This window comes from Homo sapiens, chromosome 22 (genome assembly GCF_000001405.40).
Source record: "Homo sapiens chromosome 22, GRCh38.p14 Primary Assembly".
NCBI lineage: Eukaryota > Metazoa > Chordata > Mammalia > Primates > Hominidae > Homo > Homo sapiens.
Window position 1 is genome coordinate 46,174,169 of NC_000022.11, and position 22,866 is coordinate 46,197,034.

Sequence of the window (22,866 nt, forward strand, 5' to 3'; positions counted from 1 at the left end):
TCTGTCTTGAAAGAAGGAAGAAAGAGAGAGAGAGAGAGAGAGAGAGAGAGGGAGAAAGAAAGAGAGAGAGAAAGAAAGAAAGAAGGAAGGAAGGAAGGAAGGAAGGAAATTATGATAAAGCAGATGGTTAAGTTGGTAACTACCAGTGAATATGGGTAAAGTTAGGATGTTCTTTACTCTGTTTTGGGGGTGCAACTTTTCTATAAGTGAAAGTACTTCCAAATAAAAAGTTAAAAGGCAAGCAAATAAATAAAAGAGACAGTTTCTATGTTATATATCCTAGCTATGTTTACCATGTCTGGATTCTGAAAGCTGCAGAGCAGAAAACCTGAAGAACAGATCACCTGTTCTTAAAATACCACTGTTGGCCAGACATAGTAACTCACTCCTGTAATCCCAGCACTTTGGGAAGCCGAGGTGGGAGGATCACCTGAGCTCAGGAGTTTGAGAACAGCCTGGGAAACATAGTGAGACCCTGTCTCTACAAAAATTTAAAAAATTATCCAGGCATCATGGTTCGTGCCTGTAGTCCTAGCTACTCAGGAGGCTGAGGTAGGAGGATTGCTTGAGCCTGGGAGTTCGAGGCTGCAGTGAACCATGATCACACTAAAGCACTCTAGCCTGGGCAACAGAGCAAGACCCTGTATCAAAAAAACAATCAAACAAAAAATCACTCCTAATTTTCCTCCCTTTTAGTACTTTTAAAAATTAACTTAAAACATTTTTTGGATAATTGTAGTTTTTTTTACTTTTTTTTTTTTGAGACAGAGTCTCATTCTGTCACCCAGGCTGGAGTGTACTGGTGCAATCTCAGGTGACTGCAACCTCTGTCTCCTGGATTCAAGTGATTCTCCTGCCTCAGCCTCCTGAGTAGCTGGGTTCATAGGCGTGCACCACACCTGGCTCGTTTTTATATTTTTAGTAGAGATGGGGTTTCACCTTGTTGGCCAGGCTGGTCTCAGATTCCTGACTTCAAGTGATCTGCCCGCCTTGGCCTCACGTGCAGTTTTAGGAAATAATACAGAGATCCCCAGCACTCTTTCCAGTTTTCCCCAAGGGTAACATCTTGCAAAGTGAGAGGACGATATCACAGTCAGGATACTGACATTGATACCATCAAGATACATAATGTTTCCATCACCAATCAGTGGTCATGGTGCCTTTTATAGCCAAACCCACTTCTCTCCTACCTTCCCATCCCTTTTTTAATTTTGCCAGTCATTAATCTGTTGCCCATTTCTGTCATTTTATGAATGTCACATAGGCCGGGCGCGGTGGCTCACGCCTGTAATCCCAGCACTTTGGGAGGCCGAGGCAGGCGGATCACGAGGTCAGGAGATCGAGACCATCCTGGCTAACATGGTGAAACCCCATCTCTACTAAAAAATACAAAAAATTAGCCAAGCGTGGTGGCGGGCGCCTGTAGTCCCAGCTACTCGGGAGGCTGAGGCAGGAGAATGGTGTGGACCCGGGAGACGGAGCTTGTAGTGAGCTGAAATCACACCACTGCACTCCAGACTGGGTGACAAAGCGAGACTCCATCTTAAAAAAAAAAAAAAAAGAATGTCACATAATGAATCATATGGCATATAACCGTTTGAGACTCAGGGTAATTCTCATGAGACTCATCCAGCTTGTTGGTGCATCAACAGTTTATTCCTTTTTATTGCTGAGTAATTTCCATGGTATGGAGGAACCATGGTTTAACTATTCACCCATTGGAGGACATCTAGGTTGTTTCCAGCTTGGAGTTATTATGAATAAAGCTGCTGTGAACATTTGTGTACAGGTTTCTTGGTTTTCTGGTTTGTTTTAAACAGTTCTAGCCAGGCACGGTGGCTCACACCTGTAATCCTAACACTTGGAAGGCTGAGGTAGGAGGACTGCTTGATCCTAGGAGGCAGAGGTTGCAAGGAGCCGAAATTGTGCCACTGTACTCCAGCCTGGGCAACATAGCAAGACCCTGTCATTCATAGGTAGGTGGATGGATGGATGGACGGACGGACAGATAGATAGGTAGAAATGTAAATTACAGGGCTACGCTCAGTGGCTCATGCCTGTAATCTCAGCACTTTGGGAGGCGAAGGCGGGCGGATCACCAGAGGTCAGCAGTTTGAGACCAGCCTGGCCAACATGGCAAAACCCCATCTCTACTAAAAATACAAAAATTAGCCAAGCATGCTGGCATGTGCCTGCAATCCCAGCTACTTTGGAGGCTGAGGCAGGAGAATCACTTGAACCCAGGAGGCGGAGGTTACAATGAGCCAAGATCATGCCACTGCACTCCAGCCTGGGCCACAGAGTGAGACTCCGTATCAGTACTTTCTTTTTATTGTTTTTCTGTTATTATAGTTTAAGTTCATTGTTATTAGATTATATACTCTGTATGGCTTCAATTCTTTTAAATTTGTTGAGGTTTGTTTAATGGTCAAAGACATGGTCTGTCTAGGTGAATGTTCCATGGGCTTTTAGGGAAAAAAGTATATTCTAGTGTTGTTGAATGGTGTCTTAGTCCATTCAAGCTGCTATAACAAAATACCGTAAACTGGGTGATTTATAAACAACAGAAATTTTTCTCTCACAGTTCTGGAGGCTGGGAAGTTCAAGATCAAAGTGCCAGCAGATTCAGTGTCATGTGAGGACGTGCTTCCTGCTTCATAGATAAGAGGTACATACACGTTTAGGAGCATCGTGTCTTCCTGGTGGATGAATTCTGTTATCATTAGGTGATCCTTTGAGCACTTTTAAAAAGAATCTGTTGGCCGGGCGCAGTGGCTCACGCCTGTAATCCCAGGACTTTGGGGGGCCAAGGCGGGCAGATCACGAGGTTAGGAGATTGAGACCATCCTGGCTAACACAGTGAAACCCTGTCTCTACTACAAATACAAAAAAATTAGCCGGGCATGGTGGCAGGCGCCTGTAGTCCCAGCTACTCAGGAGGCTGAGGCAGGAGAATGGCGTGAACACAGGAGGCAGAGCTTGCAGTGAGCCAAGATCACGCCACTGCACTCCAGCCTGGGCAACAAAGTGAGACCCTGTCTCAAAAAATAAAATAAAATAAAATAAAAATAATCTGTTTAATAGCCTACTAGTGTTCTTCCTTTACTATTTTATTGAGCATTAATTAATCCCAACATTATGTCTATGTCAGGACTGATGACAATATTTGGTATAAAAATTTGATAGTCTCAGAGGCTGAGGCAGGAGAATGCTTGAATCCAGGAGGCAGAGGTTGCAGTGAGCTGAGACCGTGCCACTGCACTCCAGCCTGGGCAACAGAACAAGACTCCATCTCAAAAAAAAAAAAAAAAAAATCGATAGTATCATATCCTCCAGGATTCAAAGTGAACTTCAAACAGTCTTATGTAGTCTAAATTTTGGAATGCATCCCAGTATTGAGTTGCAGCAGGGATTTGAGTTTTTGTGAAGAGAGAGAGGTATATCAGAATCTTGGGCATAAACTAAGGAGCCATGTCAGAACCTCAGGTGTATGCCAATGAGATAGATCAGAACCTCAGGCATGTACCCGATGAGACAGATCAGAACCTCAGGCGTGTACCCGGTGAGACAGGTCAGAACCTCAAGCGTGTACCTGTTGAGACAGGTCAGAACCTCAGGCGTGTAGCCAGTGAGACAGGTCAGAACCTCAGGTGTGTACCCAGTGAGACAGATGAGAACCTCAGGTGTGTAACCAGTGAGATATATCAGAATCTTGGGTATTTACCCAAAGAGGTATAGCAGAGTCTCAGGTATATACTCAAGAAGGCATATCTTGAGGCTTTAAGTATCTAGCTAAGGATTTATATCAGGATCTCAGGTTTATACCCAGGGAGGTATAGCAGAATTTGGGGTATAGATCTAAGGAGGTCTATCAGTCTAGAGCATATAGCCAAGGAACTATATCAGAACCTCAGGCACCTACCCAAAGAGGCATTTTAGGACTCGTAAGGAGGGGGTAGATTTCAAAAGTGTAGTCTAACAGTTTATCTACTTTGAAATTTAAAACAATATTAAAGGAAAACATGAAATATTTCTATCTGTCAGAAGGTGACATGAGTTTTAAACAATTAAGAAATATACTGGCTGTGGCCTTGTAACCAAATTATTATGCCTATAGAAATTACAGACTCCATTTTCCAGGATAGAATAACAGGGACTGACTTACCTTCTCATCTGAGATAACAAAACCTCCATACAAATACATGAAACAATGTTCTTCAAGATGCTGGACATCAGGCAGTGAAGGGCACTGATGGTTGTAAGACAAGGTGAGAGGTGTGGCTTGAGAGAGTTTCCAGGTTGCAGTGCAGGGAGAGGGGAAACTGAGGCAGATCTTGGCAGACTTCCTCAGTTGACAAAATAGAGCTGAGAGTCCAGGGAGACCATGGTGTATAGATTATCCAAAGCAAAGTATGAGAGGTGCAAGCCATATACAGAGGGACTCCAGAGATCTACCAAAGTACTTCTTGGTGCATCCATATGAGCAAAACTACTTGAGGCCAGGAAAAGAACCATCTGAGAGGATTAGAAGGAACAGTGCCCAGTACTTGTGCCAGCCAGGAATGGTGCCTGATACTCACGCAGGGCCAGGAACAGTGCAGGGATGTGAGTGTTTGTTAGGAGAGGGAGGTATATCAGAATCTTGGGCATAAAGACAAGAAACCATATCAGAACATCAGGTGTGTACCAATGAGATAGATCAGAATCTCGGGTGTATACACAGTGAGATAGATCAGAATCTCAGATGTGTACACAGTGAAGCAGATCAGAATCTCAGATGTATACACAGTGAGATAGATTGGAATCTCAGGTATGTACCCAGTGAGTCCAAGAGCATGGTGCTGGCATCCGGTGAGGGCCTTCCTGCTGGATCGTGACATGAAGCAAGGCAAAGAGCCTGTCAGCTCAGGGCTCTCTTCCTCTTCTTATAAAGTCACCAGTCCTATCATGGGGGCCCCACCCTGATGATCTTATAATCCTAATTACCTCCCAAAGGCTACCTTCAAATGCTATCAACATATGAATTTGGAAACTAAGTTTCCAGCACATGAAATTTGGGGGATACATTCAAAGTATAGCAAATATTACATCATAACCAGTAGGATTCATCCCAGGAAATGCCAAATGGCTTGATAATCAAAAATTAATGTAACTCATCGTATTAACAGGATGAAAAAGAAAAACCATGTGATCATCTTAGTAGATGCAGAAAAGCAGTTGATTAAATCCCACATTCATTTCTAACTTAAAAAAACAACTGGATTTTGACAGAGGTGCAAAGGCAATTTGGTAGAGAAAGGACAGTCTTTTCAATAAATGGTGCTGGTGCAATGGTTATCCATATGCCCAAAATGAACTTTGACCCATGCCTCATGCCATACACAAAAATTAACTCAAAATAGATCAGAGATCTGAAGGTAAAATTTAAAACTATAAAACTTCTAGAAGAAAACACAGGAGAAAAATCTTTGTGACCTTGGTCTAGGCAAAGATTTCATAGATATGACACCGAGAACACAATCTATGAAAGAAAAAAATCAATAAATTGAACTTCATCAAAATGAAACTTTTACTGTTCAAAAGACAGTTTTAGGAGAATGAAAACACAAGTTACACATTGGGAAGAAATATTCGAAAAGCATTTGCCTGATAAAGGTATTGTAGCTGGAAGACAGAAAAAATTCTCAAAACTCACCTAGAAGAAAATAACCCAGTTTTAAAAATGGGCAAGAGATCTGAACAAACACATTGTCAAAGAAGATAGATGAATAGCAAGTAAGCATGTGAAAAATTCTCAATGTTATCAGTCATCAGAGCAATGCAGATGAAACCTACAGTCCCCATGCTAATGTTCTACAACTTACACAGTGGTGGTATGATACCACTACATGCCCATTTGAATGGCCAAAATTAGAAAGGTTGACCATACCAAACATTAGCCATGATGTGCAGGAACTAGAACTCTCATCTTTGCTGACAGGAAGGTAAAATGATACAAACACATTGAAAAACAGGTTGGCAGTTGCTTTTTTTTTTTTTTGAGATGGAGTCTTGCTCTCCCAGGCTGGAGTACAGTGGCGCGATCTCAGCTCACTGCAACCTCTGCCTCCCAATGAATTAGAAAAATAATAATAAAGGTAACAATAGCAGTAATAATAATAGAAATAATGATAGTTTCTTTAATAAAAATGCTGTTTAGGCCCAGACTGAAAGGCTTTAAGTAACCACTCCCCCACTGAAGTTAGAGTTAAGAAAGAATATTAATTTTCCTTGTGTGAAACATTAATCTTATCTAGCCTCCATGTATTTTGTAAGTTCTGTAAATTCCTGTTTTCCCTGCACAGCTGCAAGTTCACAAGGCAGATAAGCTTAAGCTGCAAAACATGTTTTTCTTAAGATGTAAGGCATGTCACAAGAATATCACAAGATGATAACGGCCTTTATTCTCACTTCTGTATGCCTGCTTCCTGCCTCACATATTTCCTGCCTCAAGATGCGTAAAAGGTACTTGCCTTCTTTGTTTGGTGCTCTGACTTTCTGGATGCAAGTCCACTGAGCCAGTGTACACCTTAAATAAATCCTCCTGAACCCCATCAATCGCTCCAGTTCTCTGATTTCCCACTACATTTTCTGGGGGCTCGTCCGGGATTGGAGATGGCAGATTTTCTGTCTCCCTTGCCTGTGGAACTGGAGCCCGGGTCGAGGGAGACCTGGGACCTTTGGTGCCAATGGGAGGACTTTAGCCCGGAAAGGAGATTGGCTCTCCTGCATCCCGGTGTCCTTCCTAGACAGCACAACGGAACCTATAAAGGGGTTGCAGGACGGTTCCAGCAGGGGCTGGGGATGGTGAGAGTAGCTCACTGATTCAGATGACAGGGTTTTGCCATGTTGCCCAGACCCAGAGGGGCTGGGGACAGTGAGAGTAGCTCACTGATTCAGATGAAACTTACACCTTAGCCGATGCAGGACACGAGAGTGGCTCACTAAGTTGGTCAGGAAAGAAACTGAAAATGGGAAGAGTGGCTTCCTGCCTTGACTAAGGATCGGGAACTGGGAGCGGGGAGGTGTGTGAAAGAGATGGTTCCGGGAGGGCCGTGATGTGGGGAGACACAGATCTCTTAGCACGGACTGTGTGCTCTGAGGCGAGTGTGTGATTGACCAGAACCAGGGCATCACATACAGCTGACAGGAGCTGCCCCACAGCTGCAGCAGGCTGTGGCAGGAATAAGGTACTCTCCTAGCTAAGCAGCACCTGAAACTTCCGTAATAGGACCCAGTCTGGTCAGTCTGGAACGAAAGTGAGAGTGAGTGTGCATCACAAAGGGCGGGATGGGAGGAAAAGCATCGAAACCCACTCCTCTGGGGTGCATGTTAAAGAATTTTAAGAAAGGTTTTGCTGGAGATTATGGAATTAAGTTGTCCCCCCCAAAGATTGAGGGTTCTGTGTGAAGTGGAATGGCCTTCTTTTAATGTCGGGTGGCCAGCCGAGGGTACAATAAATAGGGAAATGATTGGTCATATATTTAGGGTAGTGACTGGGGTTGGAGGACACCCTGGGCATCCAGATCAGTTCCCATACATCAATTCCTGGATGATCACAGTCTAGACATGCCCCAAATGGTTACAGCCTTGTCTGGCAACTTACTGTAAGACTCTAGTGACCTGAGCCGAACCTAAGGCAGTTAGAGGGCCCCCTTCACCAGACACCTCAGGTGGAAAGAAAAAGCCACAGGAAAATTAGGAAAGACCTGTTCTACTTCACTGGGATCAAGTGATTCTCCTGCCTCAGCCTCCTGAGTAGCTGGGAGTACGGGTGTGCACCACCACGCCTGGCTAATTTTTTTAAATTTTATTTTTAGTAGAGACGGGGTTTTGCCACATTGGCCAGGCTGGTCTTGAACTCCTGACCTCAGACAGTCTGCCTGCCTTGGCCTCCCAAAGTGCTGGGATTACAGGTGTGAACCACCATGCCCAGCCAGCAGTTTCTTATAAAGTTAAACCAATGCCTACCATGAGATCTGGCAATCCCACTCCTAAGTATTTGGCCAAGAAAAAAGAAAGCATATATTCCATACAGAGTCTAGTCCTGAATGTCTATAGCTGCTTTATTTATAATAGCTCAGACTTGGAAACCATTCAGATGCCATTAATAGGTGAATATATTCTCAAACTGTGGTTATCCATACAATGGAGTATTACTTTGCAATCAAAAGGAATGGCCTATGAATACCCATAACAACATGGATGAATGCTGAAATAATTGTGCTGAGTAAAAGAAGACAGGAAAAATAAGTATAATACATACTGCTTGATTCTATTTGTATAAAACTAGAAAGTACAAACTAATCTGTAATGACAGGAAGCAGACCAGTGACAGTGGGCATGGAGGGGCAAGAGGGAGAGATTAGATGGGCACAGGAGAGCTTTGAGGATGATGGGTCTGCGTACTGTCTCGGCTATGATAGTGGTTTCACAGGTTGATACATACGGCAAAAAATACCAAATTTGTACACTTTAAATATGTACAGATTATTGTATGCCAGTTACATGTCCATAAAGCTTTCTTTTGTTGTTTTGTTTTTATTTTATTTTTTGAGACAGAGTCTCGCTCCATCGTCCAGGCTGGAGTGCAATGGCACCGTCTCAGAGCACTGTAACCTCCGCCTCCCGGGTTCAAGCGATTCTCATGCCTCAGCCTCCCAAGTAGCTGAGACTACAGGCATACGCCACCATGCCCAGCTAATTTTTCTATTTTTAGTAAAGACAGGGTTTCGCCATGATTGCCAGGCTGGTCTTGAACTCCTGACCTCAGGTGATCCACCCACCTCGGCCTCCCAAAGTGTTGGGATTATAGGCATGAGCCACAGCACCGGGCCCATAAAGCTGTCTTTTAAATGAAAAAAAGTTGTCTTGAAATAAGCATTAGAACTGTGGCTTTGGCTCTGAAATCCTCATCTGAGGACCCACACTCGGGTGCCCCAATGTGGCGGTGCTTACAGAAATGACTCCATCTGCTAAATGAGTAAATGGGTAATTCTCCACTGAACACACACTCGTTTAGCAGCATAAGCAGCAAGAGTTCAGGTAATCCTCACATTGCAATTTGTCATTAGTTTAAACTTCCAGTCTTTGTTTTAAAAACACATTAGAATAATACTACATTTTCCCTCATCTCTAAACTTGACTGAAGACTCCAAGAGAGAGTAATATTCATCAAGAGGATCATCTACTCAACACAGATAAACTGGGAAAGAAAAATAACTTGTGAGTAATTCAGAATCTGGATTATCAGGTCAGGCTCAATGGCTCACGCCAGTAGTCCCAGCACTTTGCGGGGCCCAGGAGGGCAGATCACTTGAGTTCAGGAGTTTGAGACCAGCCTGGGCAACATGGCGAAACCCTGTCTATACAAAAAATAGAAAAATTAGCCAGGCATGGTGGCATGTGCCTGTAGTCCCAGTTACCCGGGAGGCTGAGGTGGGAGGATCACTTGAGCCTGGGAGGTCGATATTGCAGTGAGCTGTAATTGCACCATGCACTCCAGCCTGGGTGAAAGAAGGAAACTCTGTGTCCAAAACAAAACAAAACAAAACAAAAAAAGCTAAATTATCAAATGTCTAGATCGTTGATGGTTGGAAGTAAAGTTGAGAAATGTTCACACTGGGAGATGACACACAGTAAACCACACAGAGGGTTCTAACGTGGTTGTTAGAAGCAGAAACTAGAGGCTTGCTGCCTGAGGTCAAACCCCGGTCCCGGTGGTTCTGTGCCCCAGCGCATGTTGTGGTAGCCTCTCTGTACTTCAGTTTCCTCATCTGTAAAGTAAACATAATGATAATGCCTGCCTCATGGGGTTGCTGTTACCAGGAAGTGAGTTAATGCACATTAGGTTCTTATTTATGACAGTGCCTGGCATAGGATAAGGGCTCAAAAAGTGTTAGCTGGAACTACTATCATTATCAACATCTCTAATTTATTGCAGGGTTGGATCTGAAAAATGGCTGATGATGATTTGATGATGACTTCATTTTTATAAAACAATAATATTGCAGTGCAAATTAAACACAAGCAACCTGCAACACGCCACTGCAAGTTGGATGTCTAGAAAAGGTGCCATGAGTTACCTTCTAAAACATCATAAGAAACCATGTTCACCAATAATTACCATAATAGGAGAGAAGTACCAAGTACCATGGGGAGACAGAGTCCAGAATCTCAGAGAGAGACACAGTTACCTTTTAGTTACACTAATGGGGAAAACAGGAGCTTTGCTACCCTTGCACCTGATGGAGGGCTTCTCTGAATATAGGGCTATGGGGTCAGAAGCCAGTTTCCTCCCATATTTAGAAGGTTTCCAACTGTTATCTTTCACTTCCCATGTTGCTGTTGGAAAATCCAAAAGTATTCTATTTGGCCAGGCACAGTGGCTCACACCTGTAATCCCAGCAATTTGGGAGGCCGAGATTACCTGAGGTCGGAAGTTCAAGACCAGCCTGGCCAATATGGCAAAACCTCTTCTCTACAAAAAATACAAAAATTAGCCAGGCGTGGTGGCGCACGCCTGTAGTACCAGCTATTCGGGAGGCTGAGGCACGAGAATTGCTTTAACCTGGGAGGTGGAGGTTGCAGTGAGCTGAGATTGTGTCACTGCACTCCAGCCTACGCGACAGAGCAAGACTCCGTCTCAAAAAACAAAAAAAGTATTCTGTTGGATCGTTTGTGTGCGACGTGTTTTTCCCTCTCAGAAAGCTCGTAGGGTCTTCTCTTTGTCTCCAGCATGGTCTGGAATTTCCCAGTGAGTGACCATCTGTGTGTGTGTATTCATCCATTCCATGGAGTCCCTGCTGGGCCCTTGCAATCTGGAAATTCATGCCCATCATTTCTGAGAAGTTATCCTGAACGTACTGGTTGGTGGTTTCCTGTGCTCCATGTTCTTGCTTCCTGCTCTTCGGAGCTCCTGTTATTTGGTTGAGTTTTGTCTCCTGGACTGGTCCTCTCTTACTTCTCTTGCTTCTCCCATGTTCCATCTGTTTTCACTCTACTTTCTGTGAGATCAGGCCCTTTATCTTCCAACCCTTCTATTAGGTTTGCAATTGAGTTTGTAATTCCCTAGAAAAGTTCTTATTCTCTGAATATCCCTTTTGATAGCATACTCTTCCTTTTTCATGAGTGCAGTGTTTCTGCATGGCTCTCATCAGAACATGCTAGTGTCTCCCATTTCTCATAACTTTCTAGAGTGAGGACCATTTGAACTTGGAGTGCCCTCATTTTAAAACTCTGTGGTTGACCTTGTTCCCCTCTTTTGCTGCTGCTTTTCACCAGACTTTGAAGAAGCAGAAGTACATTCAGAACTTGTCTGCTCTGGCAAAAGACAATACTGTTGGCTTAATCTAAAAATTGAAGAAGAAAGCTCAAGGAGAGAAGTTTAAAAATATACCACCTCTGGCTGGGCGCGGTGGCTCACATCTGTAATTCCAGCACTTTGGGAGGCTGAGGCAGGTGGATCACCTGAGGTCAGGAGTTCAAGACCAGCCTGGCCAACATGGTGAAACCCCGTCTCTACTAAAAATACAAAAATTAGCCAGGTATGGTGGCAGCCGCCTGTAATTCCAGCTACTCGGGAGGCTGAGGCAGGAGAATCACTTGAACCCAGGAGGCAGAGGTTGTGGTGAGCCAAGATCACGCCACTACACTACAGCCTGGGTGACAAAGTGAGACTCCGTCTCCAAAAAAAAAAAAAAAAAAAAAATATATATATATATATATATATATATATATATATATATATATATATATACACACACACTAACCTTCAGCATATAGGACTATTGCAGAAGGGATTATCTTTCTACTTGGTTGGTTCCTCTTGGTCTTGAGCAAATTTTGACTTCCCTGAGTTGGCCCCTAAAAGTTAAAGGGAAAGGGCCTTTTCTCTTTCCTTTAAAACCAATATGGCATATTTGCTGAGAACTTAGATACCACAGGATTGGCAGTGTAGACTTACATTCATAGACCGGATGCCATCAGCCAACCTTGAGTAATTTGCAGCACACTGCATCATTTTATTTAAGTAATGCGAAGTCCTTGACATGTCTCAGACATTGTCTTGGTTACTTGTAAGGTCTCACATAAATCTAATTTTCCTCTTTCTCTGCCCTTTCTGGTTCAGCTCAGTTTATTCAAGGGTGTATTTGTGCAACACACTTGAATAAGGTGTGGTCCCGCCTTTGTAGATGTTATAGTTTGGGAAGACCAGCCGGGCAGAGAGAAGAGCATGATTCAAGGATGAAGGCGTGGGCTGGGGGCCGAGGGAGCAAGGATTCCCAGTAACGAGGGAGGAAGGAGCAGCACCATGTGCCCATTACTCTATAGACATCTCGAACCACCTGGCCATGTAGCTGTCATTAACCTAAATTTACAGTTATTGAAACTGAGGTTCAGCCAGGCGTAGTGGCTCACGCCTGAACACAGGAGGCGGAGGTTGCAGTGAGCCGAGATCACGCCACTGCACTCCAGGCTAGGTGAGAGAGCGAGACTCTGTCTCAAAAAAAATAAATAAATAAAAGAAAAGAACAAAACTGAGGTTCAAAGAAATGTACAGTGCTCCCCCCCTTATCCAAAGAGGATACACTCCAAGCCCCCACAGTGGATACCTGAAGCCTCAGATAGTATCAAGCCCTATATATGCTATGTTTTTTCCCTGTATATGCATACCTATGATAAAGTTTATAAATTAGGCACAGTAGGAGACTAACAACAATGATAATAAAATGGAACAATTATAACATACACTGTAACAAAAGGGTCTCTTCCTCTCTCTCTCAGAATATCTTATTGTACTGTACTGGGGGTAACTAAAACCAAGGAAAGTGAAACCATGGATAAGGGATATCTACTGTATAAGGTGGAGTTTTCAAGGTCATAGCACTGCCTTCCCCTGAGGTTGGCCTTGCAGCCTCTCTAGGCACTGCTGCTGCTGCTAAGAACCCCTGTGAGGTGAACACTGTAAGCATCATCATTGCTTCTCAGAAGAGGAGACCTGGCTTACAGAGGTCAAGCCTCAGGTACCTTAAACACCATTTTAAAACTGAACTCATGGCCAGGTGCATTGGCTCATGCCTGTAATCCCTTCTCTCCATGCTCAAAACCTGCCCTCCTTGTCTTTATATTCCAAATTTCGTGGGTGCCACCTCCTCTGCCCAGTGACTTAAGCCAGAGCATACATTCATCCTAGACTCTGTCCCAGGTCCCTGGTCCAGGCAGCTGCCAGTTGTCAGGATCAGCTCTTTATCTCGCAGTCCTCCTGCCTCTTGTGTCATTACCCAGGGCTGTCACCATCTTTTCTTGGGACAGTTACAACAGCCCCGTAAGGAGTTGTGCTGCTTCTAGTCTTGTTCCCTTTGAATCTGGATTCCTTCTTGCCATCAAGACAATCCTGATACAAATCTGATCACGTCACACTTCCCTTCAATAGTCTTCCATGGCTCCTTATTGTTTTAGGATGAAATCCAAACTCCTAAACATGGGGATTAACAATGTGCCATGATTGGCACTGCTGGCCTCTCCTACCTCTGCAGACTCACCTCTTGCCACTTCTCCCTTGAGGTAGATCAAAAATGGTCACAAGTTCTTTGAGGCTCTTCCCATCAAGAGGTAGAGTTTATTTCCCCACCTCTTGGATCTGGCTTGCCTTGTGACTTGCTTTGACCCACAGAACGTAACAGAAAGGACACTGCCTAACTTACAAATGAGGTCTACCTTAAGAGGCTTTGCAGATTCCACATTCAACCTCTTGGAATGCTGCCACCATCTGAGAAGCCTGAGGTGGCCTCTGTGAGGATGAAAGACTTCATGGTGAGAAATACCTAGCGAACAGCCTGGCACCAGCTACCAGGCATGTGACTGAGGCCATCCAGCCATAGCTGAGCCACAAAATGACCACAGCTATGTGAATTATCCCAGGTCAGACCAGTAGAAGAGCCACCTGGCTGAGCTCAGCCCAATTTGCTGACCCATAGAATTGTGAACAAATAAAATGGTTGTAGTTATAAGCCATTAAGTTTCAGAGTTTGTTACACGGTAACATGTAACTGATACAACTCTTGGAGCCAGTTGTTCAGCCATTCTCAACCACTTATTCAATGATGTTTTGGGCCATATATGCAGATATGCTGTTCCCTTTTCCTTGAAATGGCCCTTACCCTCCTTTCTGTTGGGTTTTCCTATGGAATATCCAGTCAGCCTTTAGGATTCATCTTGGGTGTCCCTTCCTGTATGTAGGCTCCCTGGCCCTCCAGGATTCCCCCAGTAACAGCCCTCATCATGCTGCCTTTGCAACCATTTGTTTATTTGTACCTCTCACCTGCTAGTTGGGCAAGTTACTCACTTCTCTCAACCTCTGCATTTTTCTTCTTTATAAATGGGACCAATAATACCTACCCTGCCCTGGCGTGGATAGATTAAAGAAAAAAAATACATGCAGCTGCCATTGAGGGCCTGGCCCACGTGTGATGTTCAATAATATTATTTCTCCTTGTTTTCCTTCCCGTGCCAGTGCCACACCCCCCTGTCCCAGTGCACTGGGGCTGTGGATCCCTTCAAAGCTGAGATTGCCTGTCTGTGGTCTCCAGCGTTAAGCACAGTCATTAGCTCAGGTGCGTACTCATGTGTTCCACGAGTTCAAGCCTCAGCCCTGTAAAGTTTGCCTGCCGTGTATCTGATATATTTCTGCTAAAACCCATTAGGCCTTTCTTGCTCTGAAATGTCATCGTTAGTTGTGTGTCACTTCAGTTTTGTAACTGGCCAGGCCACTGCGCCCAGGCTGCTTCCTCGTCATCTGGCTGCTAAATGCTTCAACCTTACCTGCCTTGCTATGCGTCCCATCCTGTATCAGGTCAGAGCTCTTGAGTGGTGAATACAAATTTCATTTCAGTTGACTTTTGATTCTTGTGGCAGGCCTCTCGGCCTACTCTAATTTGATTGCAACGGACACAAAATGTGTCCAAACTTGCAGCTTTTCTTCTCTTATTTTGATATCACCATCCACAAAGGTAAGATATTTTAAAGCAATAACTACAAACTTTCTGAAAATTATGAAGAAGTGCTGGGTTTTAAATGGAAGTCATATAGTGTGAACTTTGTGTAAAGTCCGTAGGGAGTTTTCTTGGAAATGGCTGGGAACATTCTTTTTGCACCTTTGAAGATAAAGGTAGGTGGAGGAGCTCACAGCTCTTGTGCCATGTTGGGCTTGTCACTCTTGTTTATGTGCCAAATTCTTTTGATTACAAAATTTTAAGTTTAATGCTTTAGGTATTGTTGGGCAAGATCTAGATGTATCTAGTTAAATGTAGGTGATATGCAAACTATTTATGATGTATTTGATTTAAATTCATTAAGATAGAGTGTCTTTACCACCATTATAGTCTGGTCCTTTTCCTTCTGTTTTAAATGTGTTTCCATTGGCATTTTCTAAACTGACTTTGTTAGCGTGTTAATCATTTGGCACTGGTAATGATTAATCTTTTCTTTCTTTCTATTTTTTTTCTTTTTTTTTTTTGAGACAGAGTCTTGCTCTGTCACCAGGCTGGAGTGCAGTGGCGCAGTCTCAGCTCACTGCAACCTCCGCCTCCCAGGTTCAAGTGATTCTCCTGCCTCAGCCTCCCAAGTAGCTAGGGACTACAGGCACGTGCCACCACGCCCAGCTAATTTTTGTATTTTTAATAGAGATGGGGTTTCACCATGTTGGCCAGGATGGTCTCAGCCTCTTGACCTCGTGATCCGCCCACCTCGGCCTCCCAAAGTGCTGGGATTACAGGCATGAGCGACTGCGCCCAGCCGTGTTCATCTATTTCTGTGAACCGATGCTAGGTGAAGGTACAGAGGGCTTTCTAGCTTCTGGGTTTGTTTATTCTGAAATGTTATTTTAAATCTTAGCCCAACAAATTGAGCGAAAAGACTTCTAGATGTTAAATATGATATTCAAAAAATATAAAGACAAGGTGATAAATTAGAATTGGTGGGAAAGAGAAAAATCTGTCTTCTGATGGTCACCTGCCCCAGCAACACTACTCGTTTGAGAAGACTTCCATCCTTTACCCTCAAAGTGTTCCATGAGGTTGGATCAGACATCATTTAGCAAAGAAAGATGTAAATAGATTTCTGTAGGGTGGCATTATTAAGCATATTAAGTGGTTACAATACAGTAAATTAGAGGGAGTAGTACAGAAGCATAAGCAGTCAAAAAAGTGAAAGTCTAACGTTCGTAATTATTGTTCTGGAGGCTTTTGTATCACATATAAGTTCCAGGCTGGGTATGATGGCTCACACCAGTAATCCCAACACTTAGAGGCCAAGCCGCGTGGATCGCTTGAGCCCAGGAGTTCGAGACCAGGCTGGGCAACATAGTGAAACCTATCTCTACAAAAATACAAAAATTAGCTGGGGGTGGTGGCAGCGCCTGTAGTCCAAACCACTTGGGAGCCTGAGGTGAGAGGATCACCTGGGCCCGGGAGATCAAGGCTGCGGTGAGCCATGATCTTGCCATTGCACTCCAGCCTGAGTGACAGAGAGAGACTCTGTCTCAAAAATAAAAAAGTTTTGAGTGTGAAAATTCAAGCTCAATTCCATTTGTTGGTTGTCTTGAGTGTCTGATCACATAGAATATAAAGATGTTTTGATAGTTGGGACAGTATTCAGCTACCTGCTATTTAATACATTATTTCAGAAAATATTTACAAAGGGGGCTGGGCACAGTGGCTCATGCCTGTAATCCCAGCACTTTGGGAGGCCGAGGTGGGCGGATTACCTGAGGTCAGGTGTTCAAAACCAGCCTGGCCAAACATGGTGAAACCACATCTCTACTAAATATACAAAAAATTAGCCGGGCGTGGTGGTGTGTGCCTGTAGTCCCAGCTACTCAGGAGGCTGAGGCACGAGAATCGCTTGAACCCGGGAGGCGTGGGGTTGCAGTGAGCCGAGATTGCACAACTGCACTCCAGCCTGGGTGACAGAGTGAGACTGCATCTATAAAAACAACAACAAAAAAGAAAATATTTGCAAAGGACCTTCTGGGTCCAAGAACCTCATGTCCAATACAAGGGTGCACACGTGGGTGAGACACGGCAGCTGCTCTCCAGAAGCCCACAGTGGAGGGGTTTCCCTTCGGTCTCCTTTTATTCCAAGCAAGTGGCAAAACTACTTTACTCTTAATACAAACCACTTCCTTTTATCACAGGACGCTTCCCAAGCTCTGCAACTGTTGCTCCTGAGGAAGGGAGTGGAACTGATAATCTGTTCCTCCCTATTGTGTTCAGTATGGTTTTTTTTTTTTTTTTCCTTTTGCTGGCTTTGTTTTCCTGTCCCTGTGATGATTAAAATTCACTCTGCAAATTAGATCACCTTTCCCACGCAGAGTCCCTTTGACTTCTGTTCTAGATATCCATTACATTTTTGTAGTCTTCGGACACACTGTGTGTGCCGCTTTGCCCTCTGGGTGACAGCAGGCTGTGGCTGCGGCGACAGAGCTGAGGTGAATTCTCACAGACCATCACTGGGTTACTCCTGGAGTAAGTAATTCCCAAGAGCTCCTTCTGTGCAGATCGTTAGAAATAGATATTGAGGCCAGGCGCGGTGGCTCATGCCTGTAATCCCAGCACTTTGGGAGGCTGAGGCGGGCAGATCACGAGGTCAAGAGATCAAGACCATCCTGGCCAACATGGTGAAACCTTGTCTCTACTAAAAATACAAAAGTAGCCGGGCGTGGTGGCGCACGCCCGTAGTCCCAGCTACTCAGGAGGCTGAGGCAGGAGAATCACTTGAACCCGTGAAACGGAAGTTGCGGTGAGCCGAGATCACGCCACTGTACTCCAGCCTGGTGACAGAGTGAGACTCCATCTCAAAAAAAAGAGAAAGAAAGAAATAGACATTGAACACCTGCTACACAGCAGGGATTGTGCTAGAAGTATGGATGCAAAGATTAGGTGAATATGTTCCCTAGCCTCACAAAGCATACAGTCTAGTAGGAGAGACAGACACGTAAAAAGTTTCAACAGCACAGATAATCAGGGCTACACCAGAATTGGGCCCAAGATGCTGCAGGAATCTATAGGTGAATGGGTTTCATGAAGGAAGAGCTTCTTCTCCCATTTATAACTCATTTTAGCCTAATCTTCCAAACAGTCACGCATCTAAGAGCAGGTGATGCAGAAAATACCCTCGTGTTAGTTATGAATTACCGTTGGAATCCTTCCAGTGTTTGCACCTGCCCTGTGCTCGGGTAACATAAAACAGTGATATAATTTGATGTCTACTTCCTCTTGTATTTGTCTGTTTTTAAGTGTTCTACAATTTTCATATACTCTGTTTCATCGTTCTCAAAGGAATATTTTGATTGATAAATGTTTAGTTAGTAAGACCTAAAAACTGAATCTCAGTAGTTTGAGCTTATGATATACAAGATGCAGCTCTAACATTTAAATTGGAAGGGAAATGTCAAAAAGATACCTGCACTCTTGTTTGTTGCAACACTGTTTACAATAGCTAAGATTTGGAAGCAACCTAAGTGTCCATCACCAGACAAATAGATAAAGGAAATGTGATATATATACACAATGGAGTACTATTCAGCCATAAAAAAGAATGAGATCCTGTCATTTACAACAACATGGGTGGAACTGGAGATCATTATGTTAAGTGAAATAATCCAGGCACAGAAAGACAAACTTCACATGTTCTCACTTATTTGTGGGCTCTAAAAATCAAATCACTTGAACTCAGAGAGATTAGAAGGATGGTTACCAGAGGCTGGGAAGGGTGGTGAGGGGTTGGGGGCAGTGAAGATGGTTAACAGGTACAAAAAACTAGAAAGAATGAATAAGACCCACTAGGTTTTTTGTTGTTTTGTTGTTGTTGTTGTTTTGAGACAGAGTCTCACTCTGTCACCCAGGCTGGAGTGCAGTGGCATGATCTCGGCTCACTGCAACCTCCACCTCCTGGGTTCAAGCGATCCTCCTGCCTCAGCCTCCCAAATAGCTGGGATTATGGGCACGCGCCACCACACCTGGCTAATGTTTGTATTTTTAGTAGGGACCGGGTTTCACCAGGTTGAACAGGCTGGTCTCAAACTCCTGACCTCAAGTGATCCACTCGCCTTGGCCTCCCAAATGCTCAGATTACAGGCGTGAGCCACCGCACCTGGCCACTGTTTGATAGCATAATAGGGCGACTATAGTCAATAATAACTTAATGGTATATTTTTAAATAACTTAAAGAGTATAATTGGATTGTTGTAACTGAAAGGATCAATGCTTGAGGGCACAGCTACCCCATTCCCCATGACGTGTTTAGTTCACATTACATGCCTATGTCAAAGCATCTCATGTACCCCATAAATATATACACTGAGTATATACCACAAATATTTTAAATAATTTTTAAAATAAAAAAATAAATTGTAAGGGAAAGAAAATTATGAATTTAGAAATGTAAAAGGTCTCAGGTAAGGAAGGAATGAGAGGATCATGCAGAACCTCCCATCATTGCTGGGACTGGAACAGAAGCCCTACCTTTTCCCAACACCCTATCCACCTGTCCCTCACCTCTCAGCTTTTGTGAGACTCTGTCTGTGCTATGAAACTGAAGATCTAATTCAGTGCTGTTTGCATTGTCTTGCCTCCTGGACCAGAGGTTGCAGTTGTTGAGAAAAGGGATGGTTGGTTATGCCTTGATCCCCCCCAGAGCATTTGGGGCATAGGACACGGGAACTGGCCAGCCTGGTTCACTCTTCTCGATTAGCTGGACAGCGGCATGTCATGTGGGTAATAGGAAGGGGTGGGGACTTCCCCGGGATATTCTGCTCCTGATCAGAAGCGCCAGTGATGTGGGGGGAGCCCCAGCACCAGAGCATGCTGGGAGGGCGTGCAGGGTGGGGCAGGTGCCCGTTTGGCCTCTGCTGTCTATCTGGGGGATGCATCCAAAGGCAACTGTTCCTTATCTGCTCTTGTTGGGAGCAAGGAAGGGCCAATTTGTTCAATGATCCGTATACAGCCAGTCCCTCTGGCCAGAGTTCAAGACAGTATTGCCTCACTCTATATAGAGATTGTATCTTGGTTAGCTCTTCATTCATAGCAAGACCAATGTTTCTGTAAATTAATCCTGGTATTGTTTAAAAGCAACTAAAAATGATGAAATTGTAAAACTTTGAAACTCCCTGAATATAACGACAAGCAAACTAACATTGTTTTATTGGTCGATGCTCCTGGCCAGAAGAGAGAATATTAGCAGGGATAAAAGGCATAGGCCACATGCATTTTCCACCCCAGTGCTGAGAACACGATGGGCGAAAAAGGGAGGTGGCCACAGCCCATCCATCACACAGTCTCTGCCCATCTACTTGCTTTTTCCTTTTTTTTTTTTTTTTTTTTTGTGACAGAGTCTCGCTTTGTCACCCAGACTGGAGGGCAGTGGTGCAATCTCAGCTCATTGCAACTTCTACCTCCCAGGTTCAAGCGATTCTCCTGCCTCAGCCTCCCGAGTAGCTGGGATTACAGGCACCTGCCACCAAGCCCAGCTAATTTGTTTGTATTTTTAGTAGAGACGGGGTTTCACCATGTTGGCCAGGCTGGTTTTGAACTCCTGACCTTAAGTGATCAGCCCACCTCAGCCTCCCAAAGTGCTGGGATTACAGGTGCGAGCCACCACGCCTGGCCCCAGCTACCTGTTTTCTTTCTTTTTTTTTTTTTTTTTTCTTTTTTTGAGACAAAGTCTTGCTCTTGTCCCCCAGGCTGGAGTGCAATTGCATGATCTCAGCTCACTGCAACCTCCACCTCCTGGGTTCAAGCGATTCTCTTGCCTCAGTCTCCTGAGTAGCTGGGATTACAGGCGCCTACCACCACGCCCGGCTAATTTTTGTATTTTTAGTAGAGACGGGGTTTCACCCTGTTGGCCAGGCTGGTTTCGAACTCCTGACCTTAAGTGATCTGCCCGCCTCAGCCTCCCAAAGTGCTGGGATTACAGGTGTGAGCCACCATGCCCGGCCCCAGCTACTTGCTTTCTATTGGGATGAACCTCATGGTTAATACAGTTAGTTAGTGACTGCAACTTTTGAACTTTTTGTTCATAGTGAAAAATATTTTAAGTAATGCTTACCCCATTATGTTTCTTGTCATTTGAAAAAAAATCTCCCTTCAGACAGAATGCAGAATAAAATACTACAGAAAATCTGTACAGAGTCCCAGCCTGACTTATGCTAGTAGGTTACAGAGAAAGAAAGTCTTCTAAACCCTATGAAAGGTTAACAGTTCTCTTATTTTTCCCTGTGTGCTATTTGATGATTTCCCTGTGAACTTTGATGATTTATTGCCAGAATTCCAAACATAATATGTGAATTTCACAAAAATGGATGAAATGTATCTATTTTTCATTGGTAGAAGAAGCCAAAACATCCCTTCCTCACCGCACTAAAAGCTGTTGTTTACATGAAGCAAACCTCAAATGTGAACATATTTTTACGCAAATGCATTTAATGGGTGAATATTTGCTTTGGGACGGTATTCTTTACTCTATCTGGAGAGTCTGGCGTTCCGTAATCACCATGTGATGACGGCTGCCCTGACAGTGGCTGGTAGCAGCACATACCCCCGAGCCTCTCCGTGGTGTGCGCCGTGGGCACCATGTGACCATTTTCAGAAAGGAAGACAGTTCTGGAAGCTAAAGGTCACCTAGTCAGCCTCGTTGGGTGATTGATGACTCAGCTGGGTTCAGGGAGGTGGACCCGAGGCAGAGCCTCTAGAAGGCAGCGGTGGGCAGGGCGGTTCAGGCAGGTGGCACCTGGGCAAAGGTGCAGACGTGGAATCCTGAAAGCAATTCTCAGCGCTGCTGCGTTTCCAGGAGGTAGAAGAACAGTGACAAGTGCACAGTCGGGTAGGGACAAATGTGGAAGGGCTGGGAACAGTGTGTTCAGGAGACTGGGCTTCAATCTGGAGGTCTCAGGAAGTGGTTTAGGATGTTTCAGCGAGAGCATGATACAGACTAACCCAGGAAGAACCGCTGCTTTGTCACTTATACCCCTATGGAAATGCCGTTCGCTTTGCTAGTTGAAATAGCCTACCATTGTCTGGGACTCACCCAGTTAGATTTGTTTGGACTCCACAAAGTATTCTTGACCATACAATCATGGTCGAGGACCCCCTACATGAGCTGCCTTCATGGCTACAGGGAGAGCACACCAAAGTGGATGTCACACCCAGCACACATGCCACCGGCTTGGCCCTGCGCCCCGCAGCCTGAGCCACACTGGCTGCCTGTTCCTGGAATGTGCCAACATGTTTCAGTCCTGGAGCCTTTGCACTTGGTGTTCTCTTCGCTGGAACATTCTCCCCCAAGACATTTACACAGCTTGCCCCCTCATTCCCTGAGGTTATCTCCTGCCCCCTAATCAGTGAGGCCTTCCCTGGCCTCACCCCGGACACTCCACACGTGCATTCATTTCGTTGTTCACCATCTGTGTCCCAGTTACAAGGGAGGCTCCCTGAGAGCAGGGATCTGATTTTTGTTAGTTGTTGTTGTTGCTGTTTTGAGGTGGAGTCTTGCTTTGTCGCCCAGGCTGGTGTGCAGTGGTGCGACCTCAGCTCACCGCAACCTCCGCCTCCCATGTTCAAGCGGTTCTCCTGCCTCAACCTCCTGAGTAGCTGGGATTACAGGTGCCTGCCACCATGCCCAGCTAATTTTTGTATTTTTAGTAGAGACAGAGTTTCATCATGTTGGTCAAGCTGCCCTCCAACTCCTGACCTCGTGATCTGCCCACCTGGGCCTCCCAAAGTGCTGGGATTACAGGCATGAGCCACTGCACCCGACCCTGTTTTTTGTTTG

At 44.6% G+C, this 22,866-nt stretch overlaps 1 protein-coding gene across 24 annotated transcripts in view, besides 1 other annotated feature; it reads left to right on the plus strand.

The window, feature by feature from the left end:
- The window catches only part of PPARA (peroxisome proliferator activated receptor alpha), a 93,231-nt gene that overhangs the window by 23,643 nt on the left and 46,722 nt on the right, over positions 1-22,866 (plus strand). For 8 of the 24 annotated variants that reach the window (NM_005036.6, NM_001362872.2, NM_001393946.1 and 5 more), the window contains exon 3: positions 2,585-2,668. The exons of 7 other annotated variants lie outside the window; for them this stretch is intronic. The gene's annotated coding sequence lies outside the window, so the exon portion shown is untranslated. Of the gene's footprint in view, positions 1-1,820; positions 1,977-2,584; positions 2,669-6,344; positions 6,505-9,982; positions 10,111-14,554; positions 14,655-22,866 lie in introns of all 24 variants that reach the window. 9 more of the 24 variants (XM_047441423.1, XM_047441424.1, XM_011530240.3 and 6 more) reach the window with 7 other exon arrangements.
- Positions 21,718-22,218: an enhancer, noted in NCBI's record as "H3K4me1 hESC enhancer chr22:46591783-46592283 (GRCh37/hg19 assembly coordinates)". NCBI's record gives its function as "activates a minimal SCP1, AML or CMV promoter by ChIP-STARR-seq in naive H9 embryonic stem cells {active_cell/tissue: H9 hESC(naive)}" and the evidence as "EXISTENCE:reporter gene assay evidence [ECO:0000049][PMID:30033119]".